This window comes from Homo sapiens, chromosome 5 (assembly GCF_000001405.40).
Source record: "Homo sapiens chromosome 5, GRCh38.p14 Primary Assembly".
In the NCBI taxonomy this organism is placed as follows: Eukaryota; Metazoa; Chordata; class Mammalia; order Primates; family Hominidae; genus Homo; species Homo sapiens.
In genome coordinates this window covers 146,843,653-146,865,615 of record NC_000005.10, presented here as the reverse complement: position 1 = coordinate 146,865,615, position 21,963 = coordinate 146,843,653, and the positions used below count along the sequence as shown (strand labels likewise).

The window sequence follows — 21,963 nt, the reverse complement described above, 5'->3', positions numbered from 1 at the left end:
GCACTGTGCTAAAAAACCTAGGTATAAAATATTTAAAAATTAAATGTAGACCCTGCTCTCACAGAACTTGCCTTCTATTGGGAATATATACGTTAAAAAACACACGTGAATATGAATATGAAACCTGTTAAAGAAGGAAGATCCTTTAAGAGAATAAAGTACATGTTCATTATGAAAATTTTGACTGTACAGAAAATTCTAAAAGAGAAAATCAAATTTACTTCTAGCTGTGCCAGAGACAGTCATTATAAACATTTTTGATGTGCTATATTTCCTTCCAGGCTCAGTGTGTGTGTGTGTGTGTGTGTGTGTGTGTGTGTGTCAGAGACAAAGAGAGAGATGAATGGAGAATGCTAGGATTCTATGCAAAACAACATCATCTATAGGGTTTGTTTGTTTGCTTTTGCCCCAGACACAAACTGTTAGCATTTTTCTATGATATTCTATAGTTGAACCACAATTTTGCCTGTTGCCTAATAATGAAAGTTTAGATTATTTCCAATATTTGCTATACTAATTCTGAAATATATAAATAATGTATTTGGTTATGTTATAGACTCTAAATCATGTCTTTGGTTATGTTTTAGAACAAGTTTCTAAAAGTAGCTTACTGGGTTAAATGGTATGAACAATTATGTTTCTAGATGATAGGACTAAATTACCTTCTAAAATGGCTATCCCAAGGAATACCTTTGTAATTACTGTAGGCGTTTTCCACTTTTGTTCTATCCATATTTTGCTTCCACCTCACATTGTCACAAATTTTCAAGGTGCTTAAGTTTATCCTAGGAAACTTATGTGGGGTGAAGATCAGAGAAAAAATTCTTAAAGATACAGCCATTGAATTTTAATTTGATCCCATTGCCCTTCTACCCCGCAAAGCTCCAGGTACTTCGACCCTTTCTGAGAGGAGAGGCAGGCTCAATTCTCAGCCTCTGCCATTAAGCACATGGGTGAGTAGTTTGTACCCTGGGATTCAGTTGCCCACCTATATTAAATAAAATTACTTTCATGGTTCCAGGGCATCATTTGTAGATGAGTATATGGAACCTGGTGACCCAGAAATGTTAATTTTCTTCAAACTGGTGAGTAGGTAACTTCAAAGAATGATTGACCCAGTATGACAACCAGTATGGTTGTTTAATGAGCTAGTCTCTCATGGGGTACAAATTTGACATTTCGGAAAGCTGTGCTTTTTTTTTTTTTTTTTTTTTTTTTTGGTTAATACTATGTGTGGTTGAATGAAATTTGAACCCAGGCAAATCTGAAAAAAATTAGACTTTAACTATCAATGACTTTAGACTTCCAGACATCTCTAGTCTTCTCCCAAAACTGGCACTATTGTTTAATCTAAATAAAAAGTACAAATCTTATAAATTACCACTGTAGTTAACATTCTATAGTTGAACCATAATTTTACTAGCCACCTAATGATGGAAGTTTAGATTCTTTCCAATATTGCTGTAATAATTGTGAAATAGATAAATAATGGCATGACTCTAAACCGTGTCTTTATTTTTTAGAACAAGTTTCTAAAGGCAAGATTACTGGATTAAATGGTATGAACAATTATGTTTCTAGATGATAGGAATAAATTTCCTTCTAAAATCGCTGTTCCAAGGAATACCTTTGTAATTGCTATGGCCCTTTTCCACTTTTGTTCTGTCCATATTTTCAGTGAGCGATTTTTAGTCCACTTTCAAAGTATATTGGCTGTCTGCATTTCAGCAGTCTTTGGGGGTTACAGTTGGGAGTCGGTGTGAAATCTCAATTCATTTAGCCTGAGTATTTATTTAGAACATTCTTCCTCTTTGAAGTGTCTTGGGTTATTGAAATAAAAATATTAAGCTCTTTGAGGCATTTTTTTAATTTAAAAAAGTTTATACAATATTTTAAAAATTATACGCAGGATAAGCACATAAAATTTAAAGGATGGATGGATGGATGGATGGATGGATGGATGGATGGATGGATAGATGGATGGATGGGCAGTTGAATGGATAAATATTTGTGGTGGTTAGTAGGTGACCCAGTTGCCTTCTCAGAGGACTAAAAGTGTTAAAGCATCTTCTAGAAACTCCAAGTTTCAATGGAGATTTGGGGGTGCAATATTAAAATCTACTTTTCATCCTCTTCCTCTTCTGTCTTGGAGCCAAGGGTAGGTGGGATTAATTAGAGTAGCGCAGATCTGTAGGGACATGCAAACTGGAACTCATCAATGGTGCCAGTTTAAAAGGAGAAGATATGACAGGCAGAGAAGAGCTTCCCTAGAACCCTGAACTATCAGAAGAGATTAGGACAGTTTAGTGTTTCCAGCTGACATATCCTGCAATGACTAATTTCTAATCCCTTTTCCTATTCTGTAGGATTAGCCTGGGTGAAACTGACATACTATGTTTTAGAAGTCAAGACCTTCTGGTCACTTAATAGGATATAGAGGGAAAGTTTTGGGTGCAGTTCCATTTGTGAACAAGATGTATTTTTCTGTAGGTTCTCTGACCCCTTCTGGGGTCAGAGATCAGAAACTTGGTAAGCACCCACCAGGACCTACAAATCTCTGTGCACTGTGGAAAAAAAAAAAAGCAAAAGCAGTCTGATTATCGTATTGTACTTCAGCTGGCAACATGCTTACTCAGTCCTCAAGCTTCCTCAGCACAATTTGAGATGGAAATTTTCTGATCAGAATTTTTCCTATAAGTCTTAGAAACTTGGATTTGAGCCCATTATGTAAGCCAGGGTTTTTTTTTTTTTTTTTTCCAATTACTTGACAAGCAGGTTGCCTTTGAGTCACTCATATGAATGGCCTTGATGTAGACATTGGCACATGCTGAAAAGGCAAAAAAAAAAAAAAATTTACTTTTCTTTGACCCTTTAAGAAGATTAGTCTGTTCACAGTTTTCTCCTGTGCTTATAAACCTTCATGTTTCCTGCCTGTCCTCTCATCTTTTAAGTCTCTCCTAATTGATCTTCAAAGCATTGAGGCTGGCTTGTGCTGGGTCCTCACTACTCCAGGCCATTCCTGCTTCCCCTTCCCTGGTACCTGCAAGGCCTGCCTCCAGTCCACATTTTCCTGTGAAGTTTTTCCTGAATTCCTCAAGTTGTTTGATCACCACAGCAATCCTATGAGCTTATAGATATTTTCCCCATTTCACGAATGTGGCAACTGAGGTCCAAGTTCAGACAGCTAGATCTAAAGACACAGATCCTGCACGTCATCTCCCCAACAAGACAGACACTCCAAGAAGGCAGTGACCACATCTTTCCCTCTAGTTTACCATACAAAGGACAGTAGGGTTCTTGGCACACAGGTGCTTAGTAATGGTTTTTGAATTTGATTTCAATTTGAGAGTAGATTAACAGCATTTCTGTAGTTAGGAGAGCAGCCAGTTACATATTCTTTTCTTGGGAGTTTAGACTTGCAGGTCCCTCTGAATGAGGTAAAGCCAGGTCCTCCTACCCCAACTAAAGTTTAAAGATGCAGGGGAGATGTCAAAAGATGTGATCTGAGATTTCTGCAATCACTTGGAAACTGTACTGGCTAATTAAGATCATAATAGATTATTTATTCTTTCATTCACTCGTGTTTATGCGTGTGTTCTTTCACTCTTTAACCATTCAGCAGGTATTTACTGAGCAACTGAAACTTCATTCATATTATATGAGTTATTACATGATAATATCAATAAGAAAAATTATGTGAAAGTTTATTAATATTGGCTATGAGGGGGATGAAAGCAGCAAGCCAAAAAAAAAAAAAAACAATGCTGTATTTTAAAGAAAGTCAAAGGTAGCTTCATCCATGATAAAAAGGGTATGTAAAGTATGATTTCTCTTATATAAAATTTTATTTGTATAGACAAAGAATTCCATGGAAAAATGGCAACAAAAATATATTGATAACTCAGGCTGATGAAATTTTAGGTAACTTCTACTGTTTTTATATTGTTTATAATGTATGACAGTTTTAAATAAATATATACATTGTTTATATAATAAAAACAGTAAGGCTGCCATTGTGGTGAGAAACAATTCATGGAGTGTCTGCTATGTGACTAGTCTCTGGGAATTAATGTAGCGAATATTCACCTGAGTTCTTCCTTTTACTTTGAAGACACATTAGTTTGACGACGGGCGCGGTGGCTCACGCCTGTAATCCCAGAACTTTGGGAGGCTGAGCTGGGTGGATCACGAGGTCAGGAGATTGAGACTATCCTGGTTAACACGGTGAAACCCCACCTCTACTAAAAATATAGGAAATTAGGCTGGGCGCGGTGGCTCACACCTGTAATCCCAGCACTTTGGGAGGCCGAGCTGGGCGGATCATGAGGTCAGGAGATCGACACCATCCTGGCTAACACGGTGAAACCCTGTCTCCACAAAAAATACAAAAAAATTAGCCGGGCGTGGTGGCGGGCACCTGTAGTCCCAGCTACTCAGGAGGCTGAGGCAGGAGAATGACATGAACCTGGGAGTCAGAGGTTGCAATGAGCCGAGATCGCGCCACTGCACTCCAGCCCGAGCGACAGAGGAGACTCAGTCTCAAAAAAAAAAAAAAAAAAAAGAAAAAATTCAGTTTGAATGCTGGAAGAGGAGTGATAAGTGAACACTGTGACTGTCAGCTTCTATAGCAAGAATCCTTTTTAAGGTCTGTCACCTGAAGATCTGGGTGAAAAGGCTTTAGCAATGAGCCTGGCCCTTAGATTTATAGCCCCTTTGGTCCTTATGTCTTGGCTGCGACAAGAAAGCTAAGACTATATCTCTGATCTCAGCCAATCATTTTATAAGGGGACTGAGCAACGGTCTGGATGAGTCAGTGAAAATCAATTGCAATGATGGAAAACTCATCTAAGAAAAAATGTCCTAGAGCCAGTGGGTCAGAGCCAGCCCCTCTGCACATGAAAGATTTCAGTCTGTGTTTATTGACACAGAGGGTGGTTTTAATTACCCTGAAGGAATTTCTGGCATGTTTTGCCAAAGCCAGTTTTAAAATGTTTAGTCAGTGGATTAGTGACTATCGGACCTACTGGAGAGGTCTGCATATGGGGCAGCAGGTCAAGTGTAGTGTATGGCAATGAGGCTGTTAAAGACAGAGTATGGGTACATTTTGTCAGAGAAACATAGGAGAATACTACCATCCACTCATAAGATGATCTTGCTTTAGAAAGTGTGGTGTGTTTTCTGTGTCAAAGGCTTGATTTCCTTTCTTGGTTTCATGATCTAAGCAATCTCATGACCTCTGTTTTTGATATACTGAAAAGGGAACATGGGTAAGATGGTCTAGAGCCAGAGTTTGAGTGATTAATCAAGCAATCAGTTCAAGCCACAACTAGCAACTTGAAAGAGTGAATATGCTTTTCTAAATTTGATAGGCCCAGGGAAAATGTATACTTAAAATAGCATGATGGCTTTTGTTTTACCTGTTTGTGTGGACCTGTAAAACGTTTTAAGATGAGAGCTATAAAAGGAAAAGCAGGATGGTGGTGCCACATCACAAAGCAATTTTAATCTGCTAGATACCTTGAGAGGAAACCATAGTCCAAGATAAAGGTAAAATCACTAGAAAAATTGTTTTCCTGATTTTTGTGTTTTTGCTCTTATACCTTTTGGTTGAATCTCTCCAATAAGATGGAAAAACACTTAATAGTGCTAAATACCATATTTTCTTCATCTCTCCAAGGTAAACTTCAGATAGAATTTCTTTTTTTTCCCTACACAAAACTGTCCTTCATACTACCTCCTTTCCCTGATGTTCTAATCTATACATAGGCCACGTTCTACTCTCTGATGTAGACAAGCAAGAGACTTGGCACCTTGAAATTTGAATAGAAACCCAAAGAGCCCATGTTGTTGAGCTGCTATTTATGTCCTGTTCATTTACATGGTAGTTTTGTGATATTCCTTGTTGCTTTCACAGAAAGGTTTCTCAGGCTATTTCATACCAACATGAACTTATCTGGGGGGTTTGCCACGCTTACTGGCTCTTGACTCCCTCTTTTTTTAAAACTTTTATTTTAGGTTTAGAAGTACATGTGTAGGATTGTTAGATAGATAAGCTGCATGTCACAGGGGTTTGCAACATGCACATTATTTGGTTACCCAGGTAATAAATATCTTACTCCCTCTTAACCATCAAAACAACTGATCAAACAATTCAGTTGTCTTTGGCACTGCTGATAGTTTTCAACTCTTAAGAATTGCCCCTTCCTCTTGCTTTTAAATTAGTTCTTCAATAAACCAACTTCTCCAAACAGGTTGATACATTAGCAGCTAAATATTAGGCAAGGAAGGAGTTATGTAAAATAGTAATGTCATCTTATACTTGTGGGAGGGGTTTTGTATTTCTGCAAAGCATTTTCACAGCTCTTATCTACTCTGCTCAACAAATATAAAGAGTAAATTTCCTTTATTCTCATTTTTTCAGTGAGAAAACTGAGATCCAGTGGAGTTAATCAACTTGTCTATGATCACATACCTAGTTTATGGTGGAGAAAAGACTGAGGTTTAGAGACTGATTCATAAAACCGAGCTCTTTCTATGATATTGGAATATCAGATAAATCAATAAACTCCCAACTAGATGAAATCTTATAGTCTTGGAAAAAAGTGCATCTGCTTGCTGACTCTCTGTAAGACACTGACCACTAACATTTTTAGAACAAGGTTCTTTGGGTGGAACAACTTGGTGTGCTTTACACCTTTGATTTTGGGGCTTGGGCATGGGTTGTGTCTCATTCCTAAAGTCACTCATTGTTACTCTTGCCAAGTGGAAGAGTCTCTGGAACCACATTCCTGGACAGTGGTGCAAGCCTTAAAGCACTAGGGTTTGGTGATAATAAAGACATAGAGAAGCCAGTGGATTTACTTTTATGTCATGGCTGTATATTGCGCTCAAGTATCTAACTCACAGATATCTACCATTTGGAATGAGCAAGAAAATAGGTAAGAAAAACAATGGATTGATCATCACCAACACCATTCTGATCCCCAGAAACTAGTCACTAATTTACTAGTGACTAGTAAACAACATTTACTGAGTACTGTGTGTATTTTTTTTGCCTCATTTCCATTTTATTATGTAAGCAGTGAAATCTTTGATAAGAAGATGGGCTCATTACTTAAATCCTCTAACTGCAGTTGCCCCTATGTAAAGTTAAGACAATAGTAGTAACTACTTTCCATGGTTGTTGTGAGGATTAAGTGAGATAATACTTGTACATGGCTAGTTCAGTCCCTGACACAGATTAAACATTCAGTGAGTAGTTGGTTGTTTTTAGTAGTTTTAGAAGACTTAAGTGGTCATAAGTATTATTTGCACTGGACCACATACATTTTTACCCTCCCAACCCTAGAGTTTAGAATTATATGAAAAAAGTAGTCAAGAAAACAGACTCTGGAGATGACTGGGTTTGTATCCTGGCTCCACCACTTGCTAGTCCTTGGGCAAGTTATTTAACCTCTCTAAGCCCAGGTGCCTCATCTGTAAAATAAAGATAACAATGCTTAACCTCATAAGGCTATTGTAAGTATTAAAAGTGACGGTGCCTGTAATGTGCTCATGACAGTCCCAGGAAAATAGTAGGTAGTAATTGCTAAATGTTAAGCTGTATTTTTATTAATGTTAGTACAGTTGGCTGGGCATGGTGGCTTATGCCTGTAATCCCAGCACTTTGGGAGGCCAAAGGCAGGCGGATCACCTGAGGTCGGGAGTTCGAGACCAGCCTGACCAACATGGAGAAACCCTGTCTCTACTAAAAATACAAAGTTAGCCAGGTGTGGTGGCACATGCCTGTAATCCCAGCTACTAGGGAGGCTGAGGCAGGAGAATTGCTTGAACCTGGGAGGCGGAGGTTGCAATGAGCCGAGATCGTGCCATTGCACTCCAGCCTGGGCAACAAGAGCAAAACTCCATCTCAAAAAAAAAAAAAAATTAGTACAGTTATGTATATGTCTTAAGATATTACCGTTAGAAGACAGTTGTTTTGATTACAAAACAGAGGACAAATAAGTTAATACACTAACCTTAATCTTTGATCCAGTATCAGTACTGGCTGGTGGTGATTTTATCTCTTTTAAATAATCTGTTAGGTTGGATTCTTTTTCTGAATATGAAATGAAACATTGAGGAAACTAAAACTCATTATCTACTCCATGCACCATCAGCAGGATATTTAAGGATAATAAATTTAAGATACTAAAAAATTAACAATAATGGACTAATTATGAACCTTTTGTTCTATATTAGTGGTATGTTGAAGCTTCCCATTAAGGCCTAATTTTTTTTAATCTTACACGTTTATTTTGAATATTTCTTCTTATATCACCTTTTTCATAGTTTCTCGTAGGATATAACCTCATACTTCTGAACGCTTGCAGAGAAATGGGGCCATTTCTAACGAGTGAGGTGACTTACTTCTGCTCCTGAATAGTTCCTATTGCATAGAAGTTGTTCTGCACCAGAGCATTCTCTTTCACCCACTGCTCCTAGCCCTGCACCATAAAACCCTACCCCAAACGCTGAGTATCCTGTCCACAGGACCCTACTTTGGCTATATGAAGCCAGCTCTCCTGATCACTACAGCCTCTTCAAAACTCCCTAGAGGTCATACAGCAGCTGTTTTCAAACTTTAACGTGCATTAGAATCACCTGAAGTATTTGTTAAATACAAGGTTCCAGGCTCCACCCCCTCAAGCTTAGAATAGGTCTATAGGCCTGTGAGTTTGATTTTTTCAGTTTCCCAGGTAATCCTACTGCTGCTGATGATGATCAGGAGCAACACTTTGAGACCGTGGCTCTCTGTCTGTCTTCTCAAGTGAGTAGGCAGTCCACTTCAGGTCGACGGGGCTGAGGCAAGGAAGCTTTTACAGTGTTGATTGTGTTACCTTGTTAGCCTGGATTTTGACAGGCCTGGAGCAAACTCTCCCAAAGAGATGGTAGGGGGTATGTGGAAAGTATGTAAATGCACCTGTATGTTACCAAAAGTTGAAGCATCACTACCTCCTGGAGTCTGGATCTGAACCCCATGTTTGTCACAGGAGCCAAGGGAGAACCCAAGACAGAGAATAGTGGCCCAATAATGAAGCATGAATTATCCAGATGAAAACACCTATGGAAATAAAGGTATTCGTATTATTATTTATACCTACTCTTCTTGATAAAGTAGCAGTATAGAAGTGTTAAATAGTTCCAATTGCTTAAAATTTGTTCCGTGGGACACAAGTTAATTTACATTTTTTAAATAGTTCCAGTTGCTTAAAATTTGTTCCGTAGGACACAAGTTAATTTACATTTTTTAAATAGTTATTGTACATAGGAAGCATAGTTTGATTTACTGTTTTAAGAACAAGAACATATTTTGACCAAATGTACATGGGGATGATATAACTGGTTATAAAATTACCAGGAGAGAGAGTGTTGGCTAAACAAGAATAGAGCCTGCTTTATTGATGTTAGGTTTGTTGAATAAGCTAGAGAACAAAGTAGATATATTAACTGCTCAAACAAAGAAAAAGAGCTTGGGGTCAAGACACAAAGAAAAAGAGCTTGGGGTCAAGAGGCAAAGAAAGACAATATGGGCATCTTACTTTGAATATAACGAAGAATAAAAGGTATCACTGAACAGGTAATTTCCAATGAGAAAATAGATCTAGAAATCACTGTGTAGGAAAAACAACTTCTCACCTGTATCAAATATTCTAAAGCCCTTTCATTATTAACTCCTAAGTAGTTACACTTGATTTGGATGAAGTAGCATGAAGGCTTCTGCTAGGCTTTTTTATTCATTTCTCGATACAGTGTGTGGTGAGGCTTTAGCTTTACAGCCTCCACATTTGGCTATATTTTGGGATAATGGAAAATAAAATTTAATACAAAAGAACTGTATTTTGATTTAAGAAAGAGAATCATCAGAGATTCTCTTTAGAGGTGGAGTTTGTAACAGAGTTTGTATGAACCCTGAGAGAGATCAAAGAGTACAACATTCAGAAGAGAAGAGCTCCCTTTAATAAAAGGAACGAAGAGGGAAAAAGGCTCTAGATAAATATTTTATCATAGAGCTAATAAAATTTAAAAGGTGGTCACAGTTCAAAAAGGGAAGAAAACAAAAAGCAGGTATGTGTGTATGTGTATGTATACTGTGTTTGTGTCTGTATGCATATATGTTTGTGAATATTCTCCATCAGACTATGGATAAAGATGTGTGAGGCATTTGTGTCCTAAGGGAACTATGCAATGTTAGCATTATGCATTTATAGAGACTCCATGCAGGTGATATTTTTAAATGTGTTTTTATATAAAATAATAAGAGCAGGTTTTGCTTTTAAATAGTGTTGGTGATGTGAGGTAGAGTTCAGCTCTTCCCTTGCTATTGAAAAATTACCTTTTGCTCTCTGGTCTATTTGAATAAAAGGCTTACATCTGTTGTAATTTCAATGTACGATTTTTTTTCCTTCCTACCAACTAAGTAACACTTTCAGTGCATTCTAATATAATATTGATTGGGGGTTTGAGTTTTATTTGGTTTGCCCTTGATGATGTTACTTTAATGAGATGAAACTGAATAGCTTTGAGTGGATTTCCCTGGAGCTTCCAACTTTTATGCCCCCTATTCCTCCTCCAAGATGGAGGGAGAAAAAAAATGGAAGTATTTTGTTATTTGGTCAAATTTTACGACTTGTGTCATATCAGACTCAAAATTTCTAAAAACATAAAAACTGCGAGAGACAGTTCAGAGTCCAAATTTTAAGAGCTTGTCGTGAAGAATAGCCAGGATAAATACCTGCTTTTCACTGTGCCTCATCAAGTCCAAATGTTTCTGAAAAATCCCTTCAAAGTACAAAGACAGTGCCCTTCTCCAAATTTGGAGGGTTGGTGACTATATAAGTATTGTGCACAGCTTAGCGATCAGTGTGAGGTACAAGGTGAGTGTGTGTCTATACACACGTGCTTGTGTTTTAATATAATGTAAGAATCACTTCAAGGTGTCATTTTCACAAGTTTAGTTACTTTCTTCAGAAATTGAATCTATTAGAATCTGGTTAAGACTGCCTTGATGAAAAGAGGTTGGTCAATGGGTACAAATATACGGTTAGATAAAAGGTATAAATTCTAATGTTTGATAGCAGAGTACAGTGACTGTAGTTAGCAACAATGTATTGCATATTTCAAAGAAGCCAGAAGAGAGAATTTGAAATGTCCCCAACACATAGAAATAATAAATACTCAAGGTGATAAATAACCCGAATACCATAACTTGATCATTATACATTCTATGCATGTAATAAAATATCACATGTACCCCATAAATATGTAACATATTATGTATTTTAAAAATTGCCTTGAATTTCTGACATGAGATTATGATTATTTAAGAGCAGTATAAGACATGAAGCCTTGTAGGGCTCTCTCTGATTTTCTAAAATCCATTCCAGTGTGAAATAATAATTTAATGTGTGTCAGCAGATTGGGAATGAAGAGTCTGGCATCCATCCTTTTACTTATTAAGTATTTATTGTGCACTTACTATGTGTCTGGTGCTGTACTCGGTGCTGGGGATGCAAAGGTTTAGTATATAGACCTGGTCTCTACTGTTAAGGAACCTGTGGTTTAGTAGGGGACACATACAGGACAACAGGCAATTATAATGCAGAATGAGAGGTTCTCTGATGGAGGAAGTACAAGAGAATGTGAAATGACATAAGAGGGCTCAGAGCAGGGCTCATGAGGAAGCAGATGGCTAAACTGAGACCTGAAGGATGAGGAGGAGGGAAGAAGAATGAAAAGTATTCCAAGCAGGGAGAATGGTAGTCAAGATGATGGTTAGTCCCACCTCAGTTATTTAGTAATTGGGTGACTTCAGGAAAAAGTCTATCGTAGATATTTTATTTTCCTTATTCTGTGGAAGATGGAGATGGTGGCCATAGTGGATACTGCTGCTGGTGGAAAAAAAAAATGATAGCAGTTAATATTTATTGAGCACTAATTATGTGCCATGTAGTGTACTAAGCCCTTTACATGCATTAGTTACTCAATTAGGGTTTTGAAATCACCTTTTGAGGTAGGCATCATTATTATCTGTTTCACAGATAAGCAAAAAGAAGCTCAGAAAGGTTAAGAAATTTGCTCAAAGTCACCTTATTAGCAGTAGAAAAGCCAGGATTTGAAAACAGACAAGTTTAACTTAGAACCTGTGTTTTGCACCATTACTATACTATTCATAATCTAACTTTCATAAGCTGATATAGAGATGAGCAGGATAATGGATTAAAAGGACTTTTTAAACTACATGGAACTCTATACTATCATTATGCATTTTAAACTGGGGCATGAATCACGTGGTTGGTAGCTAGTCCAGAATAAAAAGTAAAAATGATTGCAGCAATATATGGGCTGCCATTTCTTGATTTGTTAGCAATGCCTCTAATTCTATGGCCTCAACACATTAGTAGTCAAAAGTGGCATTTCCTAGGGGACATTTTTTTGAAGCAACAGAACATTAGATAAGTTGGACCATGGGTTTGCTCCTAAATGGCAACTGCTATGTTAGAAAGTTCTCAAACATTCCTGAGATCTTTAATCTCTGTTAATCACTCCATGCCCCTCTGTGACGACTGCTCAGCACAAAATGAAATGGAGGCTTGGCAATTATCCAATTCCTTTGAAGAATCTTGCCTCTTAATGCTGATAATCCAAAGCTCTAATTGCACTTTTAAAAATTCTAGATTATCAGGTTCACTCAGGTATACATACTCTCTACTCTGCCTCCGCTTTTTTGTCAAATAGACCTTTTTCCTGTCACTTCTATGTTTCTGATAATTCCCAATGTGCTCCCTGCATTTATCTGTACTCTAATCAGCCATCGTATTGTGAACTTAGGACCGTCTATACTATTGTCACATAAGCAGGTTCATGTTGCTGGCCAACACATTAGCAGTCATTGGGAATTGTTGAGAATGTTTGGAGAGAGGTGGTCACACAATCTTTTGGCACAAAGAGCATGTCTCCACTACAAAGGCAAAGACTGGTTCTACAGTAGGCGGAACCACAATGAACCAAAATAATGAATTCTTCTGCATCATAGTTCGATTCTAGAGGCTAATTGTTAATTTAAGTCCTGCTCGTGGCCTGATAACGGGGCTTTCCTTTTGGAAACTTGACTGAGCTAGTGTGAAAGGCAAGACTGTTATTCAGATATACTAGTGAAATGCAAACAGTTTCACATATTAATGGTCACTAATGACCTGTAATCAGGCTATGATTTGTTAGGTTAAAAACAAAGGCATGATTAGTTTATTTGTTCAGGAGTGTAAACAGAGGGCTTTGTCAATCTGCAGATTGTTCTTCTCCATTGGAGACAGTAGGCTGGAGCATTCCTCTTGAGCTGTGGCATTTAGGGACTGCATTTTCTTTTCTTGAGATTCTCCCAGCTTCCTGTCCCCTCATAAGCCTGCAGCCTTAATCAAAATGGAATGAAGAGGATGCTGTTATTGGTCCCCTTTCTCTGTGGCTTTGGTTTTTGATAAGTGAGCCACTTTAATTTTAATTTTTTTCTTTCAGCTCCACTCTGGTCTCATGCTTCAAATAGCTAATTTTCTCAAAGCATCACCATTTCTTCAGCAAACATTTAACACATAATTGAGGTCAAATTATGCTCCAAATGCTATCCTAGACCTCAAGGATTTTAATGATTATCAAGAGAATCCTAACCCAATCTGAAAAATTTACAACTTCTCCACAGATGTCGTAAGATTTTCTGTACCACTAACAACTGCTTGTAAACTTATCACTAAAAAAAAAATGAAGACTCTCTTGAAATGAAACAGCTGCTCTGTTGAGATATGCATCTTAAAGAGCAAGGCACTTTGATCTTTTGGGGTGCATCAAAGCTGACAATAGAGATTTTGAGGTGTTATAGTGACTCCTTAGAAAAGGTATACCTTGTGTTTTGCCTACACTTATTTAATTTGAGAAAGTGAGTATATTTAAATTCTTATAGGAAACCATGGCATTAAAACAGAAAATTCTTTACTCCTTCATCAAGTAAAAAGAAAAGACTGTGATCTACCTGGTACCACGAAGCAATAATGATGCAGGTTATCCCAGTGAGGCATTTGGATCACTTACAATCATGATGAAGCAATGGGCATGATCTCACTCACATGGAACAGGATCTCTTTCCTTGTTAGCACTAATAGCAATCAGCAATCATTTTATTTACTCATTTGTGTGTTGGTTATCCTCTCTTCTTGAAGGTGAGCACCTGTCTCTCTTGCCTAGTGTGTATCCCAGGCTCTAACACAGTGCCTGGAATCTAGTAAATATGCTCAGTAAATATTTGTTAAATGTTGAATGAAATCCAAGGCCAATGATGAGAGCTTGAGCCCAATAGTAGCATTTGAGATATTGTGAAATAAAGAAAAATTACTTAATAAACAGATCTCTGAGGGACAGGATTAGGAGATGATTGGCACCATTGTGAACCTTTACTGCATGAGATTGTTTCTTCATGTCCTCTTATGTCCACTTCTATGTAATATTGAATAATATTCATTTCGATATGATAAAAAGGACCTCATGTTTATTTGGAAACTACCAAACCTGGCAGTGATGTTTATTTACTCATCCTTGGGGTGACCAATCAAATTTATTATGTGAAGTGACATATTCTTCTGAATCCAAAGAGGACTTTAATATTCTAGAAAGTCTTTACAGCAGTATGGATAGATTGCGTGGTCATTTTTCAGACATTTACTTGATAGGTGTTTATTGGGCACTTATTGTATACCAGCTATGGGGTTAGATACCAGGAATATGGAGTGACAAGACCCTCTGGGGAAATATATTAATAAAGAATAATAAAGATAAATGTACAATTGCAACCGTGACAAGCACTCTGAAGGAGTTAGTAGTACTCTGAGAGTGTGTAATAAGAGGATTATTGGACCTAGACAGGGAAGGCTTCCCTGGTGAAAGAATAATTGCTAAATCCGAAAGTCATAATAAGAGTTAGCTCTGTTGAAGAGGAGATGGGAAGATGACCCAGGCAGGGAGAACTGCATGTACAAGGGCTTTATGGTAGTAGCAGTAGAGAGAGTGTGTGTTCAAAAAGTGAAAGGTGGCCAGTGTGGCTTAAGTTCCCACAGGATGGACATTAGACAGAAGCCACATCTTGCAGAGTCTTGCAAAAATATATGAGCCATTTTTGCTTTTTATCTTATGAGTAACAGGAAGCCATTTAAATGCTTAAATGTAGGGAAGATTGGGGAAAGTGACCAAGTTTGCTTTTCAAAAATACTATTCTGGCTGCAGTGCAAAGAATAGATTGGAAAGGGTCTAGAATAGATCTAAAGAGACACGTGATTTACTCAGATGAAACTGACACAAAATGTACATAATATATGCCCACGTGAAGCAGTCCCTGCATAAAGCATGTACCCTGGCAAAAGATTCAAGATGAGCTCCCCCATGGTATAATATAGACCTCTTCAAATTCCTCTGTGTCACCCACACACGCTTACCCAGACATAAATTAGCATCGTTAATGCAGAGTGTCACATTAGAGCCCAGTTATACTTCCAGCTGATGCATCACTTTAGCACCTTTCCCTTTGTACTTTACCCTCCACCTTCAAAGGCTGTTCTCAGGTCTTATTTTCCTTCCTAGAAGTGTGAGATTGGTTTTTCTGCTGTGCTATTGGAGTGATCCTCCACTTAGACTCTAATCTGCCATGGCTTTGTGCCTGTTTGTCAGGAACTTCGAGGATGTATTAAGATATTATACAGGGTAGAAGCTCTATTTTGACAATGATTATGCCTATTATCTATTTTAATAAATGTAAATTGCTGTGGAGAAACAAACCATTTTATGCCACTTGAATCCTTTTCAAGGAAGCCTGAATCCTTTTTGCATGGCTTAGATGTATTACTGTCATTTTCCCTTCACTGGGTTGAATAAAAGCACTTAAATCAGACCTTTGTTAGTGCACCCTCTTGTACTGTTTGCCCTAATAAATTGTTGTGATTTTAGTCTTTGAAATCCGTATTTTGTAACATTTGCAAATTTATCTGTAGTCCCTTCCAGAATTGAGATTATGGAGTAAATTCAACAGTAAGTCAACATGTACATTATATGTGCCAAGCACTATACTTGGGATACAGCAGTGATTAAAGCACTAATTCTGCCTTTAAGAAGCTTACAGTCATTTCTCACTAGTGGAGTGAGAATTTACAGATAAGCAAGAGGAGGATGTTAGAATGCTACATGTGGTAATGAATTAAAGTTAGAGACATCAACAAGAACCCCTGCTTAACTTTATATATTCACAAGTGACTACATATAGAAATATTTATGTAGATATACATAGGGTTATATGCACACATATATTTCTTTCTGTGTCAGCTGAGAGGGCCTAAAAGAAATGGCATCCCAGTAGCAACTAGCACCCAGATCTTGATTTCTAAAACCATTCTTTAATAAAAGGAACCAGGAATTCTTGAAGAAATGTCTGATGCTACTAGTAGCAAAGGAAGTATATGAGTCTGGAGCCTCTTATAGAACCAGAAAGTAAAGAAGTACTGAAAAAAAAGGAAAAAAGCCTGCACTGATGGAGGTATGTCAAAAGGACACCGAAATCAACTGGAAGAGCTCCTAATGGCCAAAGTGGAACAATCCGAGCAATAAAATATAGCATTGAATTCTATCCCAAAGTATAAAATCAATATGCATAAATTCATACTGGTATAAGTAAATAATTGAATAAATAGGAGAGGAGGAGAAAATCTCCCATGCAGAACTCCAGATAAATTGTGCAGATAACATACCCTCAAGGAAGACAGCAAGTTGGCATAGCTCCCTAAGCCTTAAGGGTGAGCTGTACATCATGACTTCTTTCTAAGGGTGCAGAGTACAGTTTGGAGGAGAGGGGAGTAACTTTACAGTGGAGAAACCTGACAAACATTTCTTCAGCCAGGTGATCAAGTCCAACATGAAAATAAGGCATGTTGATATAGGTACCTTTGATTGATGTGATAGGATGGAAATGGCACTTTATCTCTGTGGTCTTCAATCACGAGAAAAACATCAAATAAATTCCACTGGAGGAGCATCCTACAGTATACCTTACTGCTATTCCTCAAAACTGTCAAGATCATCAAAGGTAAGGTAAGTCTGAGAAACTGCCACAGCCTCAAGGAGCCTGAGGAGCCATGACAACTAACTGTAATGTACTATCCTGGGTAGGATCCTAGAGTAGAAAAAGGACATTAGAAAATTAAGCAAATCTGAATGAACTATGGACTTTGGTTAATGATTACATACCAATATTGCTTCATTACTTATAAAAACGTACCACACTAACATAAGATATTCACAATAGGAGAAATCCTGCAAGAGGTATAGAAGAGCTCTCTGTACTATCTGTTCCATTTTTCTGTCAATCTAAATCTATTTTTAAAAATAAAATCTGTTAATAAGATAAAAAAAACTAAAGAATAAGAAACATACAGTCTAGTAGGGGGAGCCAGTAAGTTGGTAGGCGACTGTAACGCAGGTAAAATGACGGAGTATGGACAGCTATTGGGAAAAACATGATGTGGCATCTAACTTGTCTTTTAAATCCTGATATGGTGACTTTGGGAAAATTCCCTAAACTTGCTGAGCTTTTGTTTCCTCATCTCTAAAATGGTGATAACACCTGCACAAGTCAACATAGGCTGCCAAGCCAAGCCGCAGGAGCTCGTATCCCCTGCTATGGGGCTGGGTGATTTACTAAATCCATCTGGGCTTTAGTTCCCCATCAATGAATTGGATAATAAGAGAATAATATAATAGGAAAACAGTAAATACCTACCTTAGGGAGTTTTCCTGAAGCCTGAGAAAATATATTTAAAGTACTTGAAACAAGTCTTGGCACACAGGACTTAAATGCTGCTGCTGCTGTCTGCTCACAGGTTTGTGGTGAGGATTCAGTGGCAGAATTGTGGAGAGTGCTTAGTGCACGCCTAGGTTTGGGCATGTGGCTTGTGTTCTACATCCACCACCAACAGAGCACAAGCCCTGTGGTGGGTTCCTGGAGGCCAGGAGATGCTTTCCCTTGCAAGGCAGGCACCTATGTACCAGACACACCTGCTGCTTCTAACCTTAAGCTGAGAATAGAGTAGAAGTTGACCAGATAAAAGGAGAGTAATGGATGTGGGTTCTGTAAAAGGAGCAAAATCCAAAAACCAAAAGAAGCATGGCACCTTTACAGAACAGTGGAGTTCAGAATGACTGGTGTGAGGAGCCTAAGAGGAGGAGGAAGTAGGCAAGAGGAGGAAGTAAGTCTATTATGTCAGGAATTAAAGGCTGAATTGAAGATTTGAACTTTATCCTGGGGTTAGTGGACAACTACAGGCAGGTCAAGCAAGAAGGCAGCATGTAAGACTTTTACACTGTCTATTGTTGGAAAACAATGAGATAGAGGTAGAAGACCAGTTAGGAAGTTACTTCAGTCATACAGATCAGTTGAGAGATTACGGTGGCCTAGATGATGGTAGTAGCTCTGGAAGTAGAATTAAAGGATTTGAACAGTAGTGTAAATAATGATTCTAAAATTATATGAAGATGTTTTCCCACCCATAGTCTGATGTATTATAGTTTATGATACTTGAACAATGTTCTAAGATCTGCATGAGATAAGAATACTGTAGAATAACATAAGAATTTAAGGCAGTGGCTTTGAGACTTCTAAATATTTTTCACTCTCAATATATACCATTATAGGCAGGTTTAAGAAAAAGTCATAAGCATTAAAATCAGATTAACTCTGAAATGATGAGAGAATAGAGGAATATTCTAGACCAGCATCATTCCAAGAGATCTAACATAAGCCACATATGTAATTTTAATTTTTTAGTAGCTACTTTTAAAAAAAATAAAGAATACAGATAAAATTAATTTTTTTTTTTGAGACAGAGTCTCTCTCTGTTGCCCAGGCTCGAGTGCAGTGGCAAGATCTAGGCTCACTGCAACCTCCACCTCCCAGGTTCAAGCGATTCTCCTGCCTCAGCCTCCTGAGTAGCTGGGGTTGCAGGCACGTGCCACCATGCCCAGCTGATTTTTGTATTTTTAGTAGAGACGGGGTTTCACCATGTTGGTCAGGCTGGTCTCAAACTCCTGACCTCATGATCCACCCGTCTCGGCCTCCCAAAGTGCTGGGATTACAGGCGTGAGCCACTGTGCCTGACTTTTACTATTATTATTTTTTGAAATGGAGTCTCACTCTGTCGCCCAGGCTGGAGTGTGGTGGCGCAATCTTGGCTCACTGCAACCTCTGCCTCCCAGGTTCAAGTGACTCTCCTGCCTCAGCCTCCTGAGTAGCTAGGATTACAGGTGCACACCACCATGCCCAGCTAATTTTTGTATTTCTTGTAGAGACGGGTTTTGCCTTGTTGCCCAGGCTGGTCACGAACTCCTGGGCTCAAGCAGTCCACTCACCTCAGCCTCCCAAAGTGCTGGGTTTACAGGCGTGAGCCACTGCACCTGGCCAGATAAAATTAATTTTAATATTTTAATCCAATGTATCAAAAATATTATTTTAATATGTAATCAAAATGACAATTATGAGATGTTACATTCTTTTTCTCATGTTGTCTTCAGAACTCAGTGTATATTTTACTCTTACAGCACATTGAATTCAGACTGGTGTCATTTCAAGTGAGCAATAGTGGCCCGTGGTTAGTGGCTACTGTGTTGCACAGTACAGGTCTGGAGCTCCCAAAGTTAGTCAAAAATAGTTTAGATTTACACTTGCTGGAGGAATTCTTTTTCAAAACAAGTTAATCAACATTCCTATTCTAGTACATGCACATGGGAAACAGAATTTAGTGTACATACTCAAATTGCCTATTTCACTCCATGTATATTTTTCACGCACTCACTGTATGGTCATGGAGCATCAACTATGTTAGCATGAGTGATGGTTCACACACTGGAGCTCTAATCATGAGCTGACCACGCACAGTGTCTGTTCTTCAGCTTACACCTTTATGGAGGAGACATGAATAAAACAGAAAATGAAATAGTCATAAATTGGCCAGGTGTGGTGGCTCACGCCTGTAATCCCAACACTTTAGGAGGCCGAGGCGGGCGGATCACGAGGTCAGGAGATCAAGACCATCCTGGCTAACACGGTGAAACCCCGTCTCTACTAAAAGTGCAAAAAAAAATTTAGCCAGGCATGAACCTGGGAGGCGGAGCTTGCAGTGAGCCAAGAGTGTGCCACTGCACTCCAGCCTGGGCAACAGAGTGAGACTCCATCTCAAAAAAAAACAAAAAAAAGAAAAGGAAAAGAAAAGAAATAGTCATAAATTATGCTATGATGAAAACAAAAGAGAGGTTGAGATACTGGATAATGATGAGATGGCTTTAGATGATTTCAGTTGAGATGACATAAGCTGGGAGATAAAGAATGACAATGAGCCAGCCATACAAGAATTGGTGGGAAAGCTAATCAAGTAGAAGAAACAGCATGTCCAAGAGCCCTGAGGCTTGTCGCATATGCAAAGAATCAAAAAGTGAACATGGCTGAAAGCTGGTGAGGGAAGGAGAAAGTGGTGTGAGATGAAGAAGTGGCCAAAAGTGGGATCTCATGGACTTTGTAAGCCGTGGAATGGAGTTGGAATGTTATTCTAAGGGCTCTGAAATCTACAGAGCTTTAGGGGAAGGGGCTTCTTGATTAGGAAGACTGCCTTGACCTCAGGTCACTGTGTAGGCTAAAGGTAAAAATGCAATAAGTGAAAGTTGGAAGAAAGTTCTGCAACCTCACAGGTTATTGAGAGAAAGATAGAATAAGGTAGTGAAAGTTCTGGAATGACAACATATTGATCTATAGATGCAAAGTGCTGGAAAGAAAGAAAGAAATGGGGTTGCTAAACCCAGCTGGCTTTGTTGAGCTGCTCTTTGTAAAGGAAGTGCATACTTTCAGTGTTCAGGGTGCTTTCTGCATGGAATCTTAAATTTGTTTTCAAAAAACTAAATTGCACAGAATGGATCCGGGCATGCAGGTCTTCTGCCCTATCTGTGGTTTCTGATTTTCCAGATAAATGGTTGGCTGTTCTTGAAATGAATGCTCACAGGTGCATGATGACATCTTGCTGAGGGTCCTGCCAACAGTTTGTGTAGGTGGAGAAAGAGCAAGAATCCAAGGAAGCTAGGAGAGAAGACAGCCTTTTATTTGTCTGGCATTTTGGATGTTTCAGTATATATTTTTTTTTAATGTTTTTTTTTTTTTATTATACTCTAAGTTTTAGGGTACATGTGCACATTGTGCAGGTTAGTTACATATGTATACATGTGCCATGCTGGTGCGCTGCACCCACTAACGTGTCATCTAGCATTAGGTATATCTCCCAATGCTATCCCGCCCCCCTCCCCCGACCCCACCACAGTCCCCAGAGTGTGATATTCCCCTTCCTGTGTCCATGTGATCTCATTGTTCAATTCCCACCTATGAGTGAGAATATGCGGTGTTTGGTTTTTTGTTCTTGCGATAGTTTACTGAGAATGATTTTACACTGTTGGTGGGACTGTAAACTAGTTCAACCATTGTGGAAGTCAGTGTGGCGATTCCTCAGGGATCTAGAACTAGAAATACCATTTGACCCAGCCATCCCATTACTGGGTATATACACAAAGGACTATAAATCATGCTGCTATAAAGACACATGCACACGTATGTTTATTGCGGCACTATTCACAATAACAAAGACTTGGAACCAACCCAAATGTCCAACAATGATAGACTGGATTAAGAAAATGTGGCACATATACACCATGGAATACTATGCAGCCATAAAAAATGATGAGTTCATGTCCTTTGTAGGGACATGGATGAAATTGGAAACCATCATTTTCAGTATATTTTTGAAATCATTATCTCAGGGTCATGATAACTCTGTAAGATAGAAGAAGCAAGTAGAACCATTCCCAAGT

At 38.4% G+C, this 21,963-nt stretch overlaps 1 protein-coding gene across 10 annotated transcripts in view; it reads left to right on the top strand.

The window, feature by feature from the left end:
• Window positions 1–21,963, top strand: part of PPP2R2B (protein phosphatase 2 regulatory subunit Bbeta) — a 500,779-nt gene that overhangs the window by 215,905 nt on the left and 262,911 nt on the right. For 2 of the 10 annotated variants that reach the window (NM_001271948.2, NM_181678.2), the window contains one exon: window positions 9,033–9,117. The exons of the other annotated variants lie outside the window; for them this stretch is intronic. In NM_001271948.2, coding sequence (NP_001258877.1) covers window positions 9,081–9,117 — 37 coding nt within the window. In that variant the 5' untranslated portion in view covers window positions 9,033–9,080. The remainder of the gene's footprint in view (window positions 1–9,032; window positions 9,118–21,963) is intronic. 10 annotated transcript variants of the gene reach the window in all.